This window comes from Homo sapiens, chromosome 1 (assembly GCF_000001405.40).
Source record: "Homo sapiens chromosome 1, GRCh38.p14 Primary Assembly".
Lineage (NCBI taxonomy): Eukaryota > Metazoa > Chordata > Mammalia > Primates > Hominidae > Homo > Homo sapiens.
In genome coordinates, this window is record NC_000001.11 from 159,345,111 (window position 1) to 159,364,559 (window position 19,449).

A 19,449-nucleotide genomic window follows, 5' to 3' on the forward strand; every position below is an offset into this window, starting at 1 on the left:
GGTATCCCTAAATAATAAATTATCTAATCCTGCCTTCCTTTGAATGTTAAATAAATGGGATACACACACGATGCATGCACACACACACACCATATATAATATATTGAATTTATATATAATCACTCAATCATAATCTCTCTATATAATATATAAATGATGTGCTTCCATTATTCAATATAATCATAATAACTCTGAGATTCATTCATGTTGATTTGAAAAAATGTTATTAGTCCTTTTAATTATCTTTAATATGAGTCAGCAAACTTTTTCTGTAAAGGACTAGTTAGTAATTATTTTAGTCTTCGCAGGCCATGCGGTCTCTGTTGCACCTACTCAACTCTATTATAGTACGAAAGCAGCCATACACAATACATAAACAAATTGATGTGATTGTGCTCCAATAAAACTTTATTTATAAAAACATTTGACTGCTCTGTAGGTTTTGGTTTACCCACCCCTCCTCTGTAGTAATTCACTCAATGCCCTATCACAGTTCATTGTGAAATTTTGTTTCAATTTAAATGTTCTTTCTACTTCTGAAGAACATTTGACTTGCTTCAGTTTTCCTTTTTTTCTTTTTGTTTAAACAAACAAAACTGTAAACTTTGTGCATTTGTCTTTTGAGTTTTTATGGATTAAATATCTAACGGTAGAATTCCTGGTTTATAGAACATGTTTGTTTTCAGCTGTAGCAGGTAATGTCAAACTGTTTTCCAAAATGATTGTATCAATTTACTCTCCCACCAGTAGGAGACTGGAGCTTCCCTTGCTCTATATTTGGCACAATTTTGACTATTGACCATCTTATGAGAATGAAATGGTCTATGTTCTTAATTTTTGGGGTGTGGTCTTGTTTTTCCCTGGCTACTAATGATGTTAAAGGCTTGTTCACATGTTTATATGAGATTTGTGCTTCCTCTCATATGAAATTCCTATTTATTCCTCTTATCTATCATTATATTAAACTGATTTTTTTCTCTTTGATTCTCAGAATCCATTTGATACTCCAAATACTAGTATTTTATCTAATTTTTGTTGCTAATATCTTTTCTCTATTTTTACCTTGCTTTTTTTCTTTTTTGTGATTCTGGAAAACACAAATTAATTTTTATATAATAAAGGTTGTCATTTTTTGCTGTTTTGTACCTTAAGGAATCATTTATCTCAAGTTTTAAAAATATTCTCACATAGTGTCTTCTAAATATTTAATAGAGTTTTTTGTTTGTTTATAGGTTTTTAATCCATTTGTGATTGAATTTTGTATGGTATAAGCTAACCTAATTTCATTTTTTCCTCATATGAATGACCAACTATTGCATTAATTGACTAGTCTGTGCTTTCCATCAATCAGGAATGCCAGCCCCGTTTGAATAATTTTCATATTTTAGAATTCCATTTTCTCTCATTGGTTTGAGTGCTTATCCCTGTGCCAAAACCATGCCTTCTTAATTACTACAGCTTTATTATAGTAAATGATATTTGAAGGACAAGTTCTCTCCATTTGTTTCTTTTCTTCAAGAATGTTTGGCTATTCTTCAATGTTTGTGCTTCCATATACAGTTTAATATGAGTTGTCAATCTAAAAAACAAATAACACAAAACAATCTATTTAGGATTCTGATTGAATTGCATTGAACTCATCAGTCAATTGTGCACTAATTGTAATATCATAATATTGTATCTTCGAATACATAAGCATAACCGTTTATTTCTGTCTTTTTTGTAAGGTATTGTAATTCTTGATATTGTAATTCTTAATATAAAGTTCTTTATTCATGGATACTTTATTTTTTTGAAGCTATTATAAATAATAGTGGCTTTATACTTTGCTATCATTTGTTGAAATACTGAAATAAAGTGGATTTTTACATATAAATTTTGTACCAAAAAGTTTGTTAAACTTTCTTAATAATTCTAATAATTTATCAGAAATTTATTTCAGATTCTCTGTGTATAGAGTCACATCATCTAAAAAAAAAGTGGTGTTCTCTGTATTGCCTGAGAATACTATAAACACCTCTAAGCAAACAAACTAGAAAATCTAGAAGAAATGGATAAATTCCTGGACACATACACCCTCCCAAGACTAACTAGGAAGAAGTCGAATCCCTGAATAGACCAATAACAGGTTCTGAAATTGAGGCATTAATTAATAGCCTGCCAACCAAAAAAAGTCCAGGATTAGACAGATTCACAGCTGAATTCTACAAGAGATACAAAGAGGAGCTGATACCATTCCTTCTGAAACTATTCCAAACCACAGAAAAGGAGGGAATCCTCCCTAACTCATTGTATGAGGCCATCATCATTCTGATACCAAAACCTGTCAGAGACACAACAAAAAAAGAGAATTTCAGGCCAATATCCCTGATGAACATTGATGTGAAAATCCTCAATAAAATACTGGCAAACCGAACCCAGCAGCACATCAAAAAGCTTATCCACCACGATCAAGTTGGCTTCATCCCTGGGATGCAAAGCTGGTTCAACATATGCAAATCAATAAATGTAATCCATCACATAAACAGAACCAATGACAAAAACCACATGATTATTTCAGTAGATGCAGAAAAGGCCTTCAACAAAATTCAGCAGCCCTTCATGCTAAAGACTCTCAATAAACTAGGTATTGATGGAATATATCTCAAAATAATAAGAGCTATTTATGACAAACTCACAGCCAATATCATACTGAATGGGCAAAAACTGGAAGCATTCCCTTCGAAAACAGGCATAAGATAAGGATGACCTCTCTCACCACTCTTATTCAACATAGTGTTGGAAGTTCTGGCCAGGGCAATCAGACAAGAGAAAGAAATAAAGGGTATTCAATTAAGAAAAGACGAAGTAAAATTGTCTCTTTTTTCAGATGACATGATTGTATATTCAGAAAACCCCATAGTATCAGCCCCAAATCTCCTTAAGCTGATAAGCAACTTCAGCAAAGTCTCAGGATACAAAATCAATGTGCAAAAATCACAAGCATTCCTATACACCAATAATAGACAAAGAGAGAGCCAAATCATGAGTTAACTCCCATTCACTATTGCTACAAAGAGAACAAAATACCTAGGAATACAACTTACAAGGGATGTGAAGGACCTCTTCAAGGAGAACTATGAAGCACTGCTCAAGTAAATAAGAGAGGACACAAAAAATGGAAAAACATTCCGTGTTCATGGATAGGAAGAATCAGTATTATGAAAATGGCCATACTGCCCAAAGTAATTTATAGATTCAATGCTATCCCCATCAAACTACTATTGACTTTCTTCACAGAACTGGAAAAAACTACTTTAAATTTCATATGGAATGAAAAAAGAGCCTGCATAGCCAAGACAATCCTAAGCAAAAAACAAAGCTGGAGGCATTAAGTTACCTGATTTCAAACTATACTACAAGGCTACAGTAACCAAAACAGCATGGTACTGGTACCAAAACAGATATATAGACCAATGGAACAGAACAGAGGCTTCAGAAATAACACTACACATCTACAACCATCGGATCTTTGACAAACCTGACAAAAACAAGAAATGGGGAAAGGATTCCCTATTTAATAAATGGTGTTGGGCAAACTGACTAGCTATATGCAGAAAGCTAAAACTGGATCCTTTCCTTACACCTTTTGCAAAAATTAACTCAAGATGGATTAAAGACTTAAATGTTACATGTAAAACCATAAAAACCCTAGAAGAAAACCTAGGCAATACCATTGAGGACATAGGCATGGGCAAAAACTTCATGACTAAAACACCGAAAGCAATGGCAACAAAAGCCAAAATAGACAAATGGGATCTAATTAAACTAAAGAGCTTCTGAAGGCAAAAAAAAAACTATCATCAGAGTGAACAGGCAACCTACAGAATGGGAGAAACTTTTTGCAATCTATGCATCTAACAAAGAGCTAATATCTAGTACCTACAAAGAATTTAAACAATTTTACTAGAAAAAACAACCCCATCAAAAAGGGGGTAAATAATATGAACAGACACTTCTCAAAAGAAGACATTTATGCAACCAAGAAACATGAAAAAATGCTCATCATCACTGGTCATTAGAGAAATGCAAATCAAAACTACAATGAGATACCATCTCATGTCAGTTAGAATGGTGAAAAAGTCAGGAAACAACAGATGCTGGAGAGGATGTGGAGAAATAGGAACACTTTTAGACTGTTGGTGGGAGTGTAAATTAGTTCAATCACTGTGGAAGACAGTGTGGCGATTTCTCAAGGATCTAGAACTAGAAATACCATTTGACCCAGCATCCCATTACTGGGTATATACCCAAAGGATTATAAATCATTCTACTATAAAGACACATGCACACGTATGTTTATTGCATCACTGTTCACAATAGCAAAGACTTGGAACCAACCCAAATGCTCATCAATGTAGACTGGATAAAGAAAATGTGGCACATATACTCCACGGAATACTATGCAGCCATGAAAAAGGTTGAGTTCATGTCCTTTGCAGGGATGTGAATGAAGCTGGAAACCATCATTCTAAGCAAACTAGCACAAGAACAGAAAACCAAACACTGCATGTTCTCACTCATAAGTGGGAGTTGAACAATGAGTACACATGGACACAGGGAAGGGAACATCACACACCAGGGCCTATCAGGCGGTGGGAGGCTAGGTAAGGGATAGCACTAGGAGAAATACCTAATGTAGATGACGGGTTGATGGGTGCAGCAAACCACCATGGCACATGTATACCTATGTAACAAAACTGCACGTTTGCACACGTACCCCAGAACTTACAGTATAATAAAAAATAAAATAAAATAAAGCACCAAAAAAAGAAAAAAGAAAGAAAGTGTAAAGGAATAAAATGTCCTGGAATCACTAAAATAAAAAGAAAGTTAAGTTTTATTCCTTTCTTTTCAATCCTTGTACCTTTAATGTCTTTTTATTGCTTTATTAGGCTGGCTAGTATATTCAATACAATGTCAAAGAGAAGTGGATAAAGCCGTCACCCTTGTCTTCTTCTTAATCTTAAAGATAATCATTCAATATCTTACCATTAAGTTTGATGTGGGATGTAGAATTGCATACATATGCTTTATTAAGTTAAAGAAAATATTTTAGTCCTAGTTTACTAAGGGTTCTTCTCAAAATAGACATTGAATTTTAAGAATGCTTTTGTGGCAGCTATTAAAATAATCATATGACTTTTTTGAGGTACTTTATTTGAGGAAATATATAATTGGACTGTTTAAATGTTAAACAGACTTTACATTCTGAAATAAAACCAACTTGGTCATGTACCCATTTTATTATACATTGCTGGATTTGGTTTGATAACATAGCTGTCTCTCAGTATCCATGAGGGATTGGTTCCAGGACTTCTCATGGATATCAAAATTCACAGATGTTCAAGTCCATGATACAAAATAGTGAAGTACTTGCATATAACCTATGCACATCCTCCTTATACCTCAAATCATCTCTGGCTTACTTATAGTACCTGATACAATGTAAATGCTATATAAATAGTTATTACACTGTATTGTTTAGGAAATAGTGGGGAAAATGTCTGTACACGTTCAGTACAAATGCATTTTTCCCAATATTTTTGATCCATGAAATTGCGACAAGATGAAATTTTCTGTCTTAATTATACTATAGTCTGGGAATGTGATTACCTTTTAAGAAGATCCAGTCCTTAAAAAAATGTTGGGACCAATTTCATGGACCATTGATGATCATTTTTTAAAATGACCCAGGTGTACTTAAGAAGAATGCTTTATATCAAAATTTTAAATAATAGTGCTCAAATCTTGTGTGTCTTTATTTTCAGTCCAAGGACTTAATCTGCCATGTCCCTAAAAAAGAAAGTTGATTCACTGAGTTTTGAACTGAGTCTCTGCTGTGTTGCATTTTTGCTCTCTGTAGTGTACTCCAGAGCACAGTTATTTTTTGCTAAAAGATGTTGTGGACTTTGTCTTATTCTTTCAGACCTGAGATTCTCAATGAAGAGAGCCAATCACACAGAGTTAAGAGAGTTTGTTTTCCAAGGTTTCTCCAATTTTCCAGAACATCAGCTCACATTTTTTGTGGTCTTTCTCGCCCTCTACATTCCTAACTCTGGCTGGCAATTTCATCATTCTGGCCATAATCTATGTTGACCATCACCTCCATACTCCTATGTACTTCTTTTTAAGTGTGCTATCCACTTCAGAGACTTTCTATTCCCTGGTCATTATCCCACGCATGCTTTCCAGCCTTGTAGGCCTGAGCCAATCCATTTCCCTGGAGGGCTGTGGGACTCAGATCTTTTTTTTTCTTGGCTTTGCCATCACCAACTGCCTCCTGCTAGCAGTAATGGAATATGATCACTACGTGGCCGTCTGCAACCCACTTCGATACTCAGTCATCATGAATTGGAGGGTGTGTGCTATACTGGCATCATCAGTCTGTGCCACAGGGTTCTCACTCTCACTGGTTCAGACTGTGGCCATTTTCAGGTTGCTCTTTTGCACCCCACTGATTGAGCATTTCTTCTGTGATGTTCAGCCTGTGTTGGACCTGGCCTGGGCTACCCCAATGATCAATGATATTCTGACCTTAATTATGAGCCTCCTTGCCATCACAGCCCCAGCCATCTTCCTCTTCATCTCTTATGTCCTTATTATTTCCACCATTCTCAAGATCACCTCAGCTGAAGGCGGGAAGAAGACCTTTGCCACCTATGCATCCCACCTCACTGTGGTCATTATCCACTATGGCTGTGCCTCCATTGCCTACTTCAAGCCCAATTTGGAGAATACCAAAGATCAGGATCAGTTAATCTCAGTGACCTACACTGTCATAACACCTTTACTAAACCCTGTTGTGTATGGTCTGAGAAATAAAGAAGTCCAGGATGCTCTGCAGAGAGTGCTGGGTAGGAAATTCTTCTCCTAAGACGATAATCTTTTCTTAAATAGTTATGGGTGCCTTCCAGATGGAAGCCTATTGGTAAAGTCATAGAGCCAGAATTTTATGGGATCAGTGAAGCCTCATACATCACAGTCAGTGCCAAGGCAAGAGAGAAACTAGGAGCTAGCCTCTAATAATTGAGGATCATTTTCTGAACCTCTTTCAAAACAGAATAAAAACACAGGTCACTTGAAACACCTGTAGACAGACACCCATTGGCCCTACTCAAGGAGATCATGACAAGGCCAATGTATGAGCTAGTGTTCATCTCAAGCTTAAATTTAAAGATACCAGTCCATCTTGCTGAAGTGCAAACCATATGAAATTACTCAACTGAATTTTTTGTCATAAATTGGATGCTTGAACAAGTGGCTATTACTGAAAAGGATATGTGCAAAAATCTAATTGCCTTGTGTTTTAATAAGATAAGCAAAGCAAGAACATTTTTTAAGACATGGGTTTGGAATGAGCTAAAAACTTTTTAGAAAGAACATTTTCAGGCAATCCCCTGCACATTTCCTGCCACCCACATGTGGGACTCCAAATGAAGGGGAACTAGGTGGTGAAAGTGGGGAGTAGTAAGGACATTGAGTGGAGAAGACTCCTAATCAGCATATGACAGCTATGAGACTTGAGGCTTGTGAACAGAGCACACGTAACTTGGTCTGATTCTTTGCTTCTTCTGGCTGAAGATAAGCCACATGGAGGAGAAGGCCTTGTGGGGCTGACAGAAATGCCTTCCTCATGAACAGGATCAGAAGAGGAGACGGCTCAGGAAGCAGAATGCTACAAAATGTTATGAAATTGGTTAGGAAGAAAGACACTTCAGAAGCAGATGCAGATGGGAGTGATAGATGAGAAGGGAAGGACAAGGCGAGGGTCAAAACGACCAAAAATCATTTTTAAAATCATTTCAGATTGGGTCCTCTCTTTCCCTTTGTAGGCCAAGTCACAAATGCAAAGAAAGACAATTAAATGGAAACGTGAAAGAGTCAACATAACACCTTTCTGAAAAAGTAGGTAATTTCACTACTCCCGAAAAACTGAACAAAGTCAACAGTAAGGGCTTTTGACATGAAAACTTCCATAAAGTTAAAGCAACTGAGTTAAAAGTAGATTAAAAAAAGACTATGTACTGTTCCTCACTTCAAAAAAATGTTAAAAACATTAGGGTGAATTTTAGACTCAATTTGTGGGACAAAATATGTGATGATTAAAACTATAATGATTAACAGTTATAATTACTGACCAAATTAATGTCACAATACAAAGATATTTATAAAAAGACATACAAGAAATACATGAGTACACAGGATTCTCATTGTAAAATATTTTTAAAATGCAGAAATGTCAAATAAAATGTGTAAACCAATTGTGAATTATATAGGCTATCTATGCAAGTGCATACAAAGGTTACTTTTAGAAAGTTCTGCAATTCATTTTACTTTGTAATTCTCAGCTCCGAATCTGCTTGATGAAAAAAAAAGTAATCTAAACCTTTTCATGTAAACTCAAGCAATTAATGATTAATAAGTCATGTTATGAGTAAAAACAATAACATTAAAAGTTCTGCTTCTCCCCTTTCTTCCACTTCCCCATTATCCTTGGGGTGAATCAAGTTCAGGTCAAGATTTCCAGCTTTCTGGAAGAAGAAGAACTTTATCCAGGTTCATTTCTACCTCCTCAGATTGGATTCTCTGGAGATACATGAGCCCCAATGGCTCATGTATCTGTTGCCATTAATTGAGATGAGTCCAGTCTTGCCATGGTCCTTATCAATATAGTCCCTGCACTTCATATCTTCCTTATGACCATTTTGAGGCTACTCTAGGTTCTTTGTACTTCTCTCTGCCACTTCTTGAGGGCACCTGGACATTTAACTGCACCCTTGACCCTGTAGAGGAGTGGATGAAACTCAGTGAGGTATCATTGAGCCATCACCTGCTGCCTTACTCACCCATTTCTACTCCATCAGTATTCAAGCCTTTTCTAAGAGGCTTCTCTGAAAAGTGAGGGGCATACCTTCTCTGCTTCAATCAGATTCTTTCCTTCCTTCCTTACATCAGGGTTTATTTGGGGTAGGACCAAGAGTGGGCTTTCCACAATATATAACTCTGGTGCCATCTTCTCCAAAGGCTGGATGGCTTTGTTTTATTTTGGAAAAAAAAAAAAACCTTAATTATTTCCAACTCCACAATGCACAGTTTACATTTCATATACAAAGTACTTTAGTACTTAGGCTTTTGATATTCAAAACCATTCTTTGTAAATTAAGAGGTTTTCCACTCTAGAAAAGTTTGCTAAACTTAAAAACTATTTCAGCTTTCAATACAAATGTTTCAGTTATGAGCTTTATAAACATATTTTTGAAATTCAGTTGACTTTTTCTTGCATTCTTTTGGGTTTATCCTTCACTGGGGCAAATAAATGTCCCCTGGAATAATAAGAATTTTAAAAAGAAGGAAAGCATTGGATTATTATCATATAACATTATTCCATAATATTTCTTCCAAGAGTATTTTTTGTGGAGATTCATAAAACATTTGCTTCCCCAGAATATAAAATTTGATTTCAAAATATGACTCTCCAGTAACAGATAAATCTTCAGCCATAAGGGATGGGGTTCTTACCTTCCTAGACTGGAAGATACTTATGTTTACCAGCAGTATCTACCTCCTACATAGTGGGTAAAGTTTTCACCTCCTCCTAGGGGGACATTCCTCTTTTTGCACAGGGCCAGCTCCTCAGAGTGTCCAATACAACTATTGTGAAGTTATCAAGTCCTGGGCTTTTCTTTGATAGGAGACTTGTTACTGCTTCAAAATCATTACACATTATTAGTCTGTTCAGGTTTTCTATTTCTTCATAGTTCAATCTCGGTAGGTTGTATGTGTTCAGGAATTTATGCATTTCCCCTAGTTTCTCCAATTTGATGGTGTATAGTAGTTCACAATGCTCTTTATTGATCCTTTGCATTTCTGGGTATCAGTTGTGATATTTCTTTTTTCATTTTTGATGTTATTTATTTGGGTCTTCTCTCTTCTTTTCTTGGTTATTTTAGCTAAAGGTTTGTCAATTTTATCTTTTCCACAAACCAACTTTTTGTTTTGTTGCACTTTTGGATTATTTTCCTAGTCTAAATTTCATTTATTTCTGTTAAGATCTTTATTTTTTTTCCTTCTATTTTTTTTTTATTTTTGCTTTTCTAGTTCCTTAAAGTGCATCATTAAATTGTTGACTTGGAGTCTTTCTGTTTGGGGGATGCAGGCATTTATTGCCATAAAATTCTCTCGTAGTAATGCTTTTGCTGTATCCCAAAAGATTGGGTATGCTGTGCTTCCATTTTCACTTATTTGAATAAATTTTTAAATTTCCTTCTTGGCTGGGCGCTGTGGCTCACGCCTGTAATCCCAGCACTTTGGAAGGCCGAGGCGGGCGGATCACGAGGTCAGGAGATCCAGACCATCCTGGCTAACACGGTGAAACCCCGTCTCTACTAAAAATACAAAAAATCAGCTGGATGTGGTGGTGGGCACCTGTAGTCCCAGCTACTCGGGAGGCTGAGGCAGGAGAATGGCGTGAACCCGGGAGGCGGAGTTTGCAGTGAGCCGAGATAGCGCCACTGCACTTCAGCCTGGGCGACAGAGCAAGACTCCATCTCAAAAAAAAAAAAAAAAAAAAAAAATTCCTTCTTAATGTATTTGCTGACTCATTGGTAATTCAGGAACACGTTCTTTCATTTCCACGTATGTGTACAGTTTTAAAAGTTCCTGTTATTGATTTCTAATCTTACACTGTTGTGATCAGAAAATATATTTGATATGATTTTGATTTCTTCGAATTTTTCAAGACTTGCTTTATGCTCTAATATATGGTGTCTCCTGGATAATGTTACATGTGCTGATGAGAAAAAAAATGTACATTCTGCAGCAGTTGGATAAAATATTCTGTAAATGTCTGTCAGACCCACTTAGTCCAGAGTGTAGTTTAATTCTGATGTCCATTTGTTGATTTTCTGCCTGGATAATCTTTCAAGTGCTGAAAGTGGAGTGTTGGAGTCCCCTACTATTATCGTATTATAGTCTATCTTTTAGATGTATTAATAATTGCTTTATATATTTGGGTGCTCCAGTATTGGGTACTGTATATTTATTATTGTTATATCTTCTTGCTGAATTGACTTTCTTATTATTATATAGTGATCTTCTTTGTCTCTTTATACAGTTTTTGACTTAAAGTCTATTTTATCTGATACAAGTATAGCTACTCCTGCTCTTTCTTGATTTCCATTTGCATAGAGTATCTTTTTCCATCTCTTCCCTTTCAATAAATGTGTGTCTGTATAGGTGAACTGAGTCTTGTAGGCAGGATATAGTCAGGTCTTCCTTATTTATCCTTTCAGCCACTCTATGTCTTTAACTGGAGAATTTAATCCATTTACATTCAATGTAATTATGATAGGTAAAGCCTTGCTACTGCCATTTTGTTACTTCTTTACCAGTTGTGGTGTAACTCCTCTCTTCTTTTCTAACTGTCTTTCTTTATATTGAAGTTATTTTCTCTGGTAGAGTATTTTAATTTATAGCTTTTTTAGTGTATCTATTATATGCTTTTGCTTTGTGATTAACATGAAGCTTACACAAACATCCTATAGTTATAACACACAATTAAAAACTTATTTAAACTTAGCTTTAATCACAAGAAAATAACAGTAACAAAGCAAAAACAAAATAAAAAAAAATGTGTACAGACTACCTTCTCCCCCACATATTTTGAATTTCTGATGTCACAATTTAAAATTTTTATATTGCCTATACCTTAAATTGCTGTAGCTATTGTTCTTAATTTGTCTTATTTTCTCTTTCAGTCTTCTTAGTAAAGATAGAAGTGGGTCAAACACCACAATCACAATATTAATATTAACAATCGTGTTAGCATTCTTTCCTTTGGGTTTGAAGAACTTTCTTCAGCAGAGTGCTCATTTTTCTCAAATGAACATGGAAAATTCTTTAGAATAGATCATATGTTAAATCACAAAACAAACCTTAACAAATTTGAAAAAAATGGAAACATATCAAGTATTTTTTAATACCACAATGGAATGAAATTAGAAATCAATAACAGCAATAAAATGGAAAAATTTTATATTACATGGAAATTAAACAACACACTATAACTATTGGGTCAAAGAGAAAATCAAAAAGGAATCTAAAAAATATGTTGAAACAAATGAAAACAAAATTAAAACATGCCAACACTATAGGATGCAACAAAAGCAGTCCTAAAAGTTTATGATCATAAATGCCTACATTTAAAGAAAGACAGATCTCAGATGCAGAAACCTAACTATACACCTCAAGGGACAAGAAAAAAGAAGAACAAACTACACCCAAAGTTAACAGAAAAATAAAATAATAAAGATTAGAGCAGAAATAGAGAATCGAAAAACAACAGAAAAATTAACAAACCTAAAAGTTCTTTCTATAAAAAAGATAAATTAAATGGACAACCCTTAGCTAGAATAAAAGAGAAAATAAGAGACAGAAGACTCATATAAATTTAGAAGTGAAGAAAGAGACATTACAACAGATGCCTAAGAAATAAAAAAGATCATAGAGATTTCTATGAACAATTAAAAGGCAACAAATTATATTTGTATAGCCTGGAAGAAATGGATAAATTTCTAGAATTATGCAGCCTACCAAAACTAATCAAGAAGAAATAGAAAACTTGAACAGATGAAAATAATCAGTAGATTGACTCAGTATTAGAATCCTTCCAACAAAGAAAAGCCCAGGACCAGATGGCTTTATGAATGAATCCTAGCAAACAGTCAAAGAAAATTTAATATAAGTCCTTCTTAAACGCTTCTAAAAAATAGAAGAGAAAACAGTTCTATACTCATTTGATAAGGCCAAAGCCAAAGACACCACAAGAAAAGAAAACTGCAAGTCAAAATCTCCCATGAATATAGATGAAAAATCCTGAATAAAATACCAGCTATCTAAATCCAATAGTACACCACAAAGATTATACGCCATGGCCAAATGGGATTTATCTCTGGAATGCAGGGTGAAATCAACATAAGCAAATTAATCATTATGATACATCACATTAACGGAATGAAAATAAATCACATGATAATCTCAATAGATGTAGAAAAAAGCATTTTACAAAGTTTGACATTCATTCATGATAACAACTCTCAGTAAAATATGTAAAGAAAGAAGTAACATAAACATGATAAAGGCTATTTATGAAAAACCCACAGATAATATCATAATCAATAGGGAAAAACAACTTTTTCTCTAAAATCCAATATAAGGCAAGAATGCTCACCCTTGCCACTCTATTCAACATAGTACTGGAAGTCCTAGAAAGACAAATAGAAAAGAGAGAGAAAGAAAAGGCATTGAAATTAGAAAGGGAAAAGTAAAATTATCTCCGTTTGCAGATGACATGATCCTCTATGTAGAAAACCCTAAAAACTCCATGAAAGAAAAAAAAACTGTTAGAATAAATAAATTCACTAAAGGTACAGGATACACATTCAGTGTACAAAGATCAATAGCATTACTTTGCATCAAAAATAAACTATACACGAAGAAAATTTTTAAAAATCTCATTTACAATAACATAAAAAAGAATAAATTACTTAAGAACAAATTTAACCAGGGAGGTGAAAGATTTGTATACTGAAAACCAAAAAATATTGATGAAAGAAATTAAAGAAGAAACCAATAAATGGAAAGATATCCCGTGTTCATGGATTGGAAGAATTTATATTATTAAAATGTCTATAATACCTAAAGTGATTTATAGATTGAATGTAATCTATATTTATTAGAATTTCAATTGTATTTTTTACAGAAATAAAAGGAAAAATTCTAAAAATTTGTATGGAACCACAAAAGATCCCAAATAGCCAAAGTAATCTTGAGAAACAAGAGAAAAGCTGAAGGCATCACACATCCTGATTTAAATATATTGCAAAGCTGTAGTAATCATACAGTATAATACTGGCATAAAAACAGCAACATAGACCAATGGAACAGAATGAAGAGCCCAGAAATAAAACCACATGTACAAAATTAACCAATCTTCAATAAAGGCACCAAGGACATAACATGGGGAAAAGATAATCTCTTGTTGTGTTGGTAAAATGTGATATCCACATGCAGAAGAAAAGAAAACTACAGGTTATTATTTTACAGCATACACAAAAATTAATTCAGAACAGATTGAAGACTTAAACCTAAGACCTGAAATCATAAAAATTCCTAAAAGAAAACATAGGAAAAAGATGCTTAACAGTCTTGGCAATGATTTTTTTTTCATATAACACAAAAAGCACAGGTAACAAAAGCAAAAATAAATAAGTGGGACTACAACAAACTAAAAAGCTTCTGTTTAGGAAAAAAAAAAAGAATGTTGTGTCTGTACTGAACATGCACAGACTTTTTTTCTTGTCATTATTCTCTAAGCAATACAGTACAACACTCATTTACATAACACTTACATTTGATTAGATGTTATAAGTAATCTAGAGATGATTTAAAGTAAATGGGAGGATGTGCATAGGTTGCATGCAAAGATTATGCCATTTGATATAACGGACTTGAGCATCCTCAGATTTTACTAGCCGTAGTGCATCTTGGAACAAATCTACGTGGATACTGAAGGACCACTGTATACCTTACTTTGTTTCTTACAACCAAATAAATTTCAGATGAATCAATATTGAAGCATACGAAGTATATGGGACAGCATGGTGCTTTTTAAAAATAATCTTGGAGTTAGGAAGTCCCTTTTAAGCACTAATCAAAACGCATAAGCAATAAAGTTTGATTTCAAGAGATAAATACATGAATATAATATTGCAAAAATTTCAAACACACAAATCCAGTAAAAATGATAAATGGAAGAACAATATTTGCAATATATATGATAAAAGGCATATTTTCTTATCTTAGCACTCACAAGAAAAGGACAACTAACACTATGAAAAATGAGCAAGATACGTAAATGGACATTCGCAGCATATAAAGTAGAAATTGCTAATAAGCATATGAAAAGATACTTAACCTTATTTGTAATTAAAGAAATTAAAATTCAAAGGAAAAAATAATAAACCCCTTTTACCTTTAAGTTTGCCCATTTTTTAAGGAGTTGGTAATACCCATCATTGATGAAAGTGTGGGTGAGGAAGCATTCTCAGTGTTGCCGAGTGTGTAAATGAATGTATCCTATTTTGGTTTCAGTTTGGCAATAGTTATTAAGATTTTAAAGGCACATATTACTGATCAAGGAATTTTACTTTCAGGAATGTATTCTATAGATGAGCTGCCAGAAGTACACAAATATATATGAACAATTCTATTATTCCTCAACAGTAGAATGGATTAAAAATATCGAGATATATTCACATAATGGAATAGTATAAGGCAGCTAGTGAACTATAGCTCTTTCTGGATATTATTAGTGTAACTGAATTATAAAAAGAAGCAAGTCTTAGAAAAGTGTATACAGTATTACATTTTATAAAGCTCAAAAGTAGGTATAGCTAAGTAATGTATTTTTAAACATACATACATATGTCATAAAGATATAACAATAAATAAGATACAATAAATATAAAAATTAGAATAATAGTAACCACTGGTGGGGGTGAGGGGTACAGTGTGAAGAAATAGGGAGGTGGGAAAAATGAAAAATACATAAGTGTAGCTCTTGAGTTAAGTTGAGTGATAGATTCCTAAATGTTCATCTTATTGTTATGCTCCACAACTTAAACACAGTGTTTTGTAAACATCAAGTGTTATATTAAAAATAACAAAAATATATATATTTTGTACATTAAAAAATATAATAACATATGCCAAACCTATACGTGGACACAGAATGCTTAGGCAAATCATAACTGGTGGCTTCTTGTCTGCCTAGCCAGAGCTTTGTTAACTTTGAAAGTTGTTTAGAAACTTTAGTCTTGCCTTTTACAGTTATCATCTAGTCCACTAAATGTATATCTTTTACATTTACCAACTCAAATTGATATCATCTTGAGTTTCTAATAGGTTAGCAGGTGATCTAGAACCTCCCTTTTTGGTGTCTTACATTTTCCCTTTATTTTTCTAATCCCTGTAACTTAAGTATTACAATAGACTGATGAAGTTGACATAAACACTTAAGAAGGGAGAGTCTAGAGTTTGAGTTGTCTATTTTTTTTTCCTATTTCCCTTTGAGGGCATCTAATCTAAATTGTCCAAGAGAAGATACTGGCCATCTACTAATTTACTGTGGCAGACTATATTTTCAAAAAATGGACATATCTCTTTTATTCCTCATGCTCTTCTTAGAGTGTGCCATTCCCTCATTAAGAGGTGAGGTCTGTACTCTCACCCCTTGAAACTGAGTGGACCTTTGTTACTTCTTGACTAAAGCAGTGGGGAAGCCCAGGCCACATGGAAAGATGATGTGTAGGTATTTCAGTCAATAGGCAATATCAACTGACTGGCACGTGAGTGAGCAAGTTCCATCTACCTCCTGAACAAAATTGCATGACAGACTCTAAGTGAGAATAGCCCAGTTGAAATCAATCACCCATACAGAGGTAATTACAAATGATTGTTGTTGCTTTATGCTCCTAAGTTTGGGGTACTGTGTTATGCAACACTAGACTAGAACGTCTGGGTTTCAGTACAAGCAATTATGGACATAGGCAGCTATACTTACACATGGGGACTATCCTACATACTCAGTGCTAAGCAGAGTTAGAGGCATCAAGCATAGATCCCAGAGACACTGCACTTCCTGGTTCTCAGCCCTGTCCATTGTTTATACAGCCAGATCTTGAGAAACCTGCCAACCAGGAGTTAGAAGTTATTTGACCATCAAACTCCTAACAGACCCCAGCCTACTGTCCTTCATTTTCCTGGTTATTTATAAACACAGAATTCGGCTAGATTTCATATTTAACCCTTGAAACATGAAAGGACACCCCTTTACTGGCAAATAAGGTTATTAGTACATTCACCCCCAAGATGTCCTCCTAATCTGTTGACAGGAAGTTCAGATTGCTACAATACAAAGTTCTCTCTATCCTTTTTCTGTGTTGATAAAGCTGTCCTAATTTTCTCTGCTGAAAGGGTCTTTATATCTACTTCCCGTCTAGGGGAGGGAGCCTCTTTATGCCTCAGTGCAGATTTGTGTCTTTAATGATAACTAGGGTAACAGTTTGGCCCCTCTCTCACTAGAGCAGATAAAGAAAAGTACATGTTTAATCAACAGAATGGCACAAAAATGAATGATCCAATCATAATTCGACCCCCAAGACAGTGCAGGTTGTAATGCATACGAAGGTACTACTCAGCTGCAAACAATAAGGAAAAAAGTTGGGATGTTAACTTTATCAATGATAATTTAATTACAAATATTGGAGTTTTCTCCAGTTTGGCCAATATTTTCTTATGTCTGTGAACTAATAGGAATAAAAGCAAATGTAATTAACATTCTTATATTTGCTATAAAGTTTTTGATTTTATAATTTTTTCGATCCAAAAGTTACCACAGGCTGAGTGTGGTGTCTCATGCCTGTAATCCCCAGTGCTTTGAGAGGCTGAGGCAGAAGAATCACTTGAGGCCAGGAATTTGAGACCAGACTGTGCGGTATAATGAGATCCCCTTTCTAATTTTCTTTTAGATTAGCTGAGTATGGTGGCACACACCTGTAGTCCTAGCTACTCAGAAGGCCAAGACAGGAGGATAGCTTGAGTCCAGGAGGTTGAGACTGCAGTGAGCTATGATTGCTCCACTGCACTCCAGCCTGGGCAACAGAGCAAGATTTTGTCCCTAAAAATTATTTCTTTTAAGTTATGACAAATAGGAAATATAAAATACAAATGAAAAAATCAGTATGAGGAGCATTTTTCAAGTTTATTAAGATATTAATGCAGGTACCTTATTTTTGGCCAAGTACGGAAAAATTAACTTGGAGGAGAATTGGCAGAATTCGTGATGAGATAGACATAAATTTTAAAAAAATAGAATAAAGTGCCAAGGGTTGTGGCAGGAAAACCAGTGGGAGGATAACCCCAGATTGGGCTCATGAAACCCAGTGTATTTAACTGTTTGCCAGATGGTCCCTTGGGATGAAGTCCTGGTTCATGTTTTTGGAGCTCTAAAATGGCCTCCTGGCCTTCTAGAGAGGTTTCTATTGTCTAATGAGATTTGATCTTCCCTTTCTGAATCCTACAGGACAAAAACTGGCCAAAATTGAGTTTTTTTTAGTTCAGAGAACAGAAAAAAAAGCACAGCTTATAATATTGAACAAGGTTTTTAACGATAGAAAGAGCTGCAGGGTTTCCTGGAATCCAAGACAGTGCGCTTAGCTAAAGCTCGCTTGGGCTTCGTAACCATGGTTTTCCAAGGCTCAACTGCATAAAAATAGAATATTTATTTAAAAAATAAAACATGACAAATAAGCCACTGCTGTTTCTACTTGCTGTGAAAACTGCCTCAAGTCTCCCAAAGCACAAGTCCATATCATCTGGTAAATGTGCCGCACACTTAACGAGGTCCCCTGGTACTGGCTGTCTGCTTCCTCTTAGTCAAAGGGCGACTCTCAAGAGTGCTCAGAGAATGACACTGAGAAACCCTGAAACCTTGAAAGCTGCTCATCAGAGAGCCTTTCTTTGGTATCAAAAGGTCCTCCTCAAGCTGGAGGAAATATCCAGTATCCAAAGAGCCCCCTGTAACTTTCCTTTGACCTCCATCCCTAGACTGGTCCTATGGCAGATGGAAGGCCCACATTCAGATGTCTTTTCTTCATGATCTTGATTTGTGAATACTTGTGGTCAAGGTTTCACATCTCTGACCTCTACCTCAACTTTTCGGTTGAGCCACAGATTTGCAGAAAGAGAAGTAAGTGATTTGGAAAGAGACTTCAATGGTTAGCAGAGGGAGCCTTATAAGGAATAAAATACATGCATGAAGTTTTTTTAAATCATTTTTAAAGGGCAAACTATATTAAGCTGGGAAGAATCCTGATGTCTATGAATATTTGGGTTTCCTTGATTTATTACTTTCAAGGATCTCCTGTTAATCCTAAGGAACTAAAATTTCTCAGGATTAAAGAGTGCCTTGATTAGCATGATAATAAGGAATGTGGCTCTGACACTTATCAGCTATGCATGCTCTCTTGTCTATATTCTTATCTTCAGACAATCCATGGTCCACAGAGACACAGTTTAGAAAGCTTCATAAAGAATGTTTACAGTTACTTACCATGCTGCACACATCACAAACAACTTTTCCTGTCAAGAAATGGTCTCTGATGTCTAACACAAAATTTATTTCTTGCAACCTCATCTGATTTTCTTTCATATCATGCACTGAGGAGTTGAAGCACAGCCATGCACCAATTTCTTATAAATACTCTTTGTAGATTTTCTTATGAAAAGGGGTATATTTCTGAAAAATAGATAAATTGAATTTAATTTTAAAAGCACTAAAGAAGCTTA

At 34.8% G+C, this 19,449-nt stretch overlaps 1 long non-coding RNA gene and 1 pseudogene across 1 annotated transcript; one reads left to right on the forward strand and one right to left on the reverse strand.

Moving 5' to 3' along the window:
- Window positions 1–387: 387 nt before the first annotated feature.
- LOC124904433 (uncharacterized) lies at window positions 388–19,399 on the reverse strand. The gene is made up of 2 exons (XR_007066672.1): window positions 19,214–19,399; window positions 388–1,579 (listed from the first exon to the last, which is right to left on the reverse strand). It is a non-coding gene; the product is annotated as an uncharacterized LOC124904433 (long non-coding RNA).
- On the forward strand, window positions 5,941–6,913 carry OR10J7P (olfactory receptor family 10 subfamily J member 7 pseudogene; annotated as a pseudogene).
- Window positions 19,400–19,449: the final 50 nt, after the last annotated feature.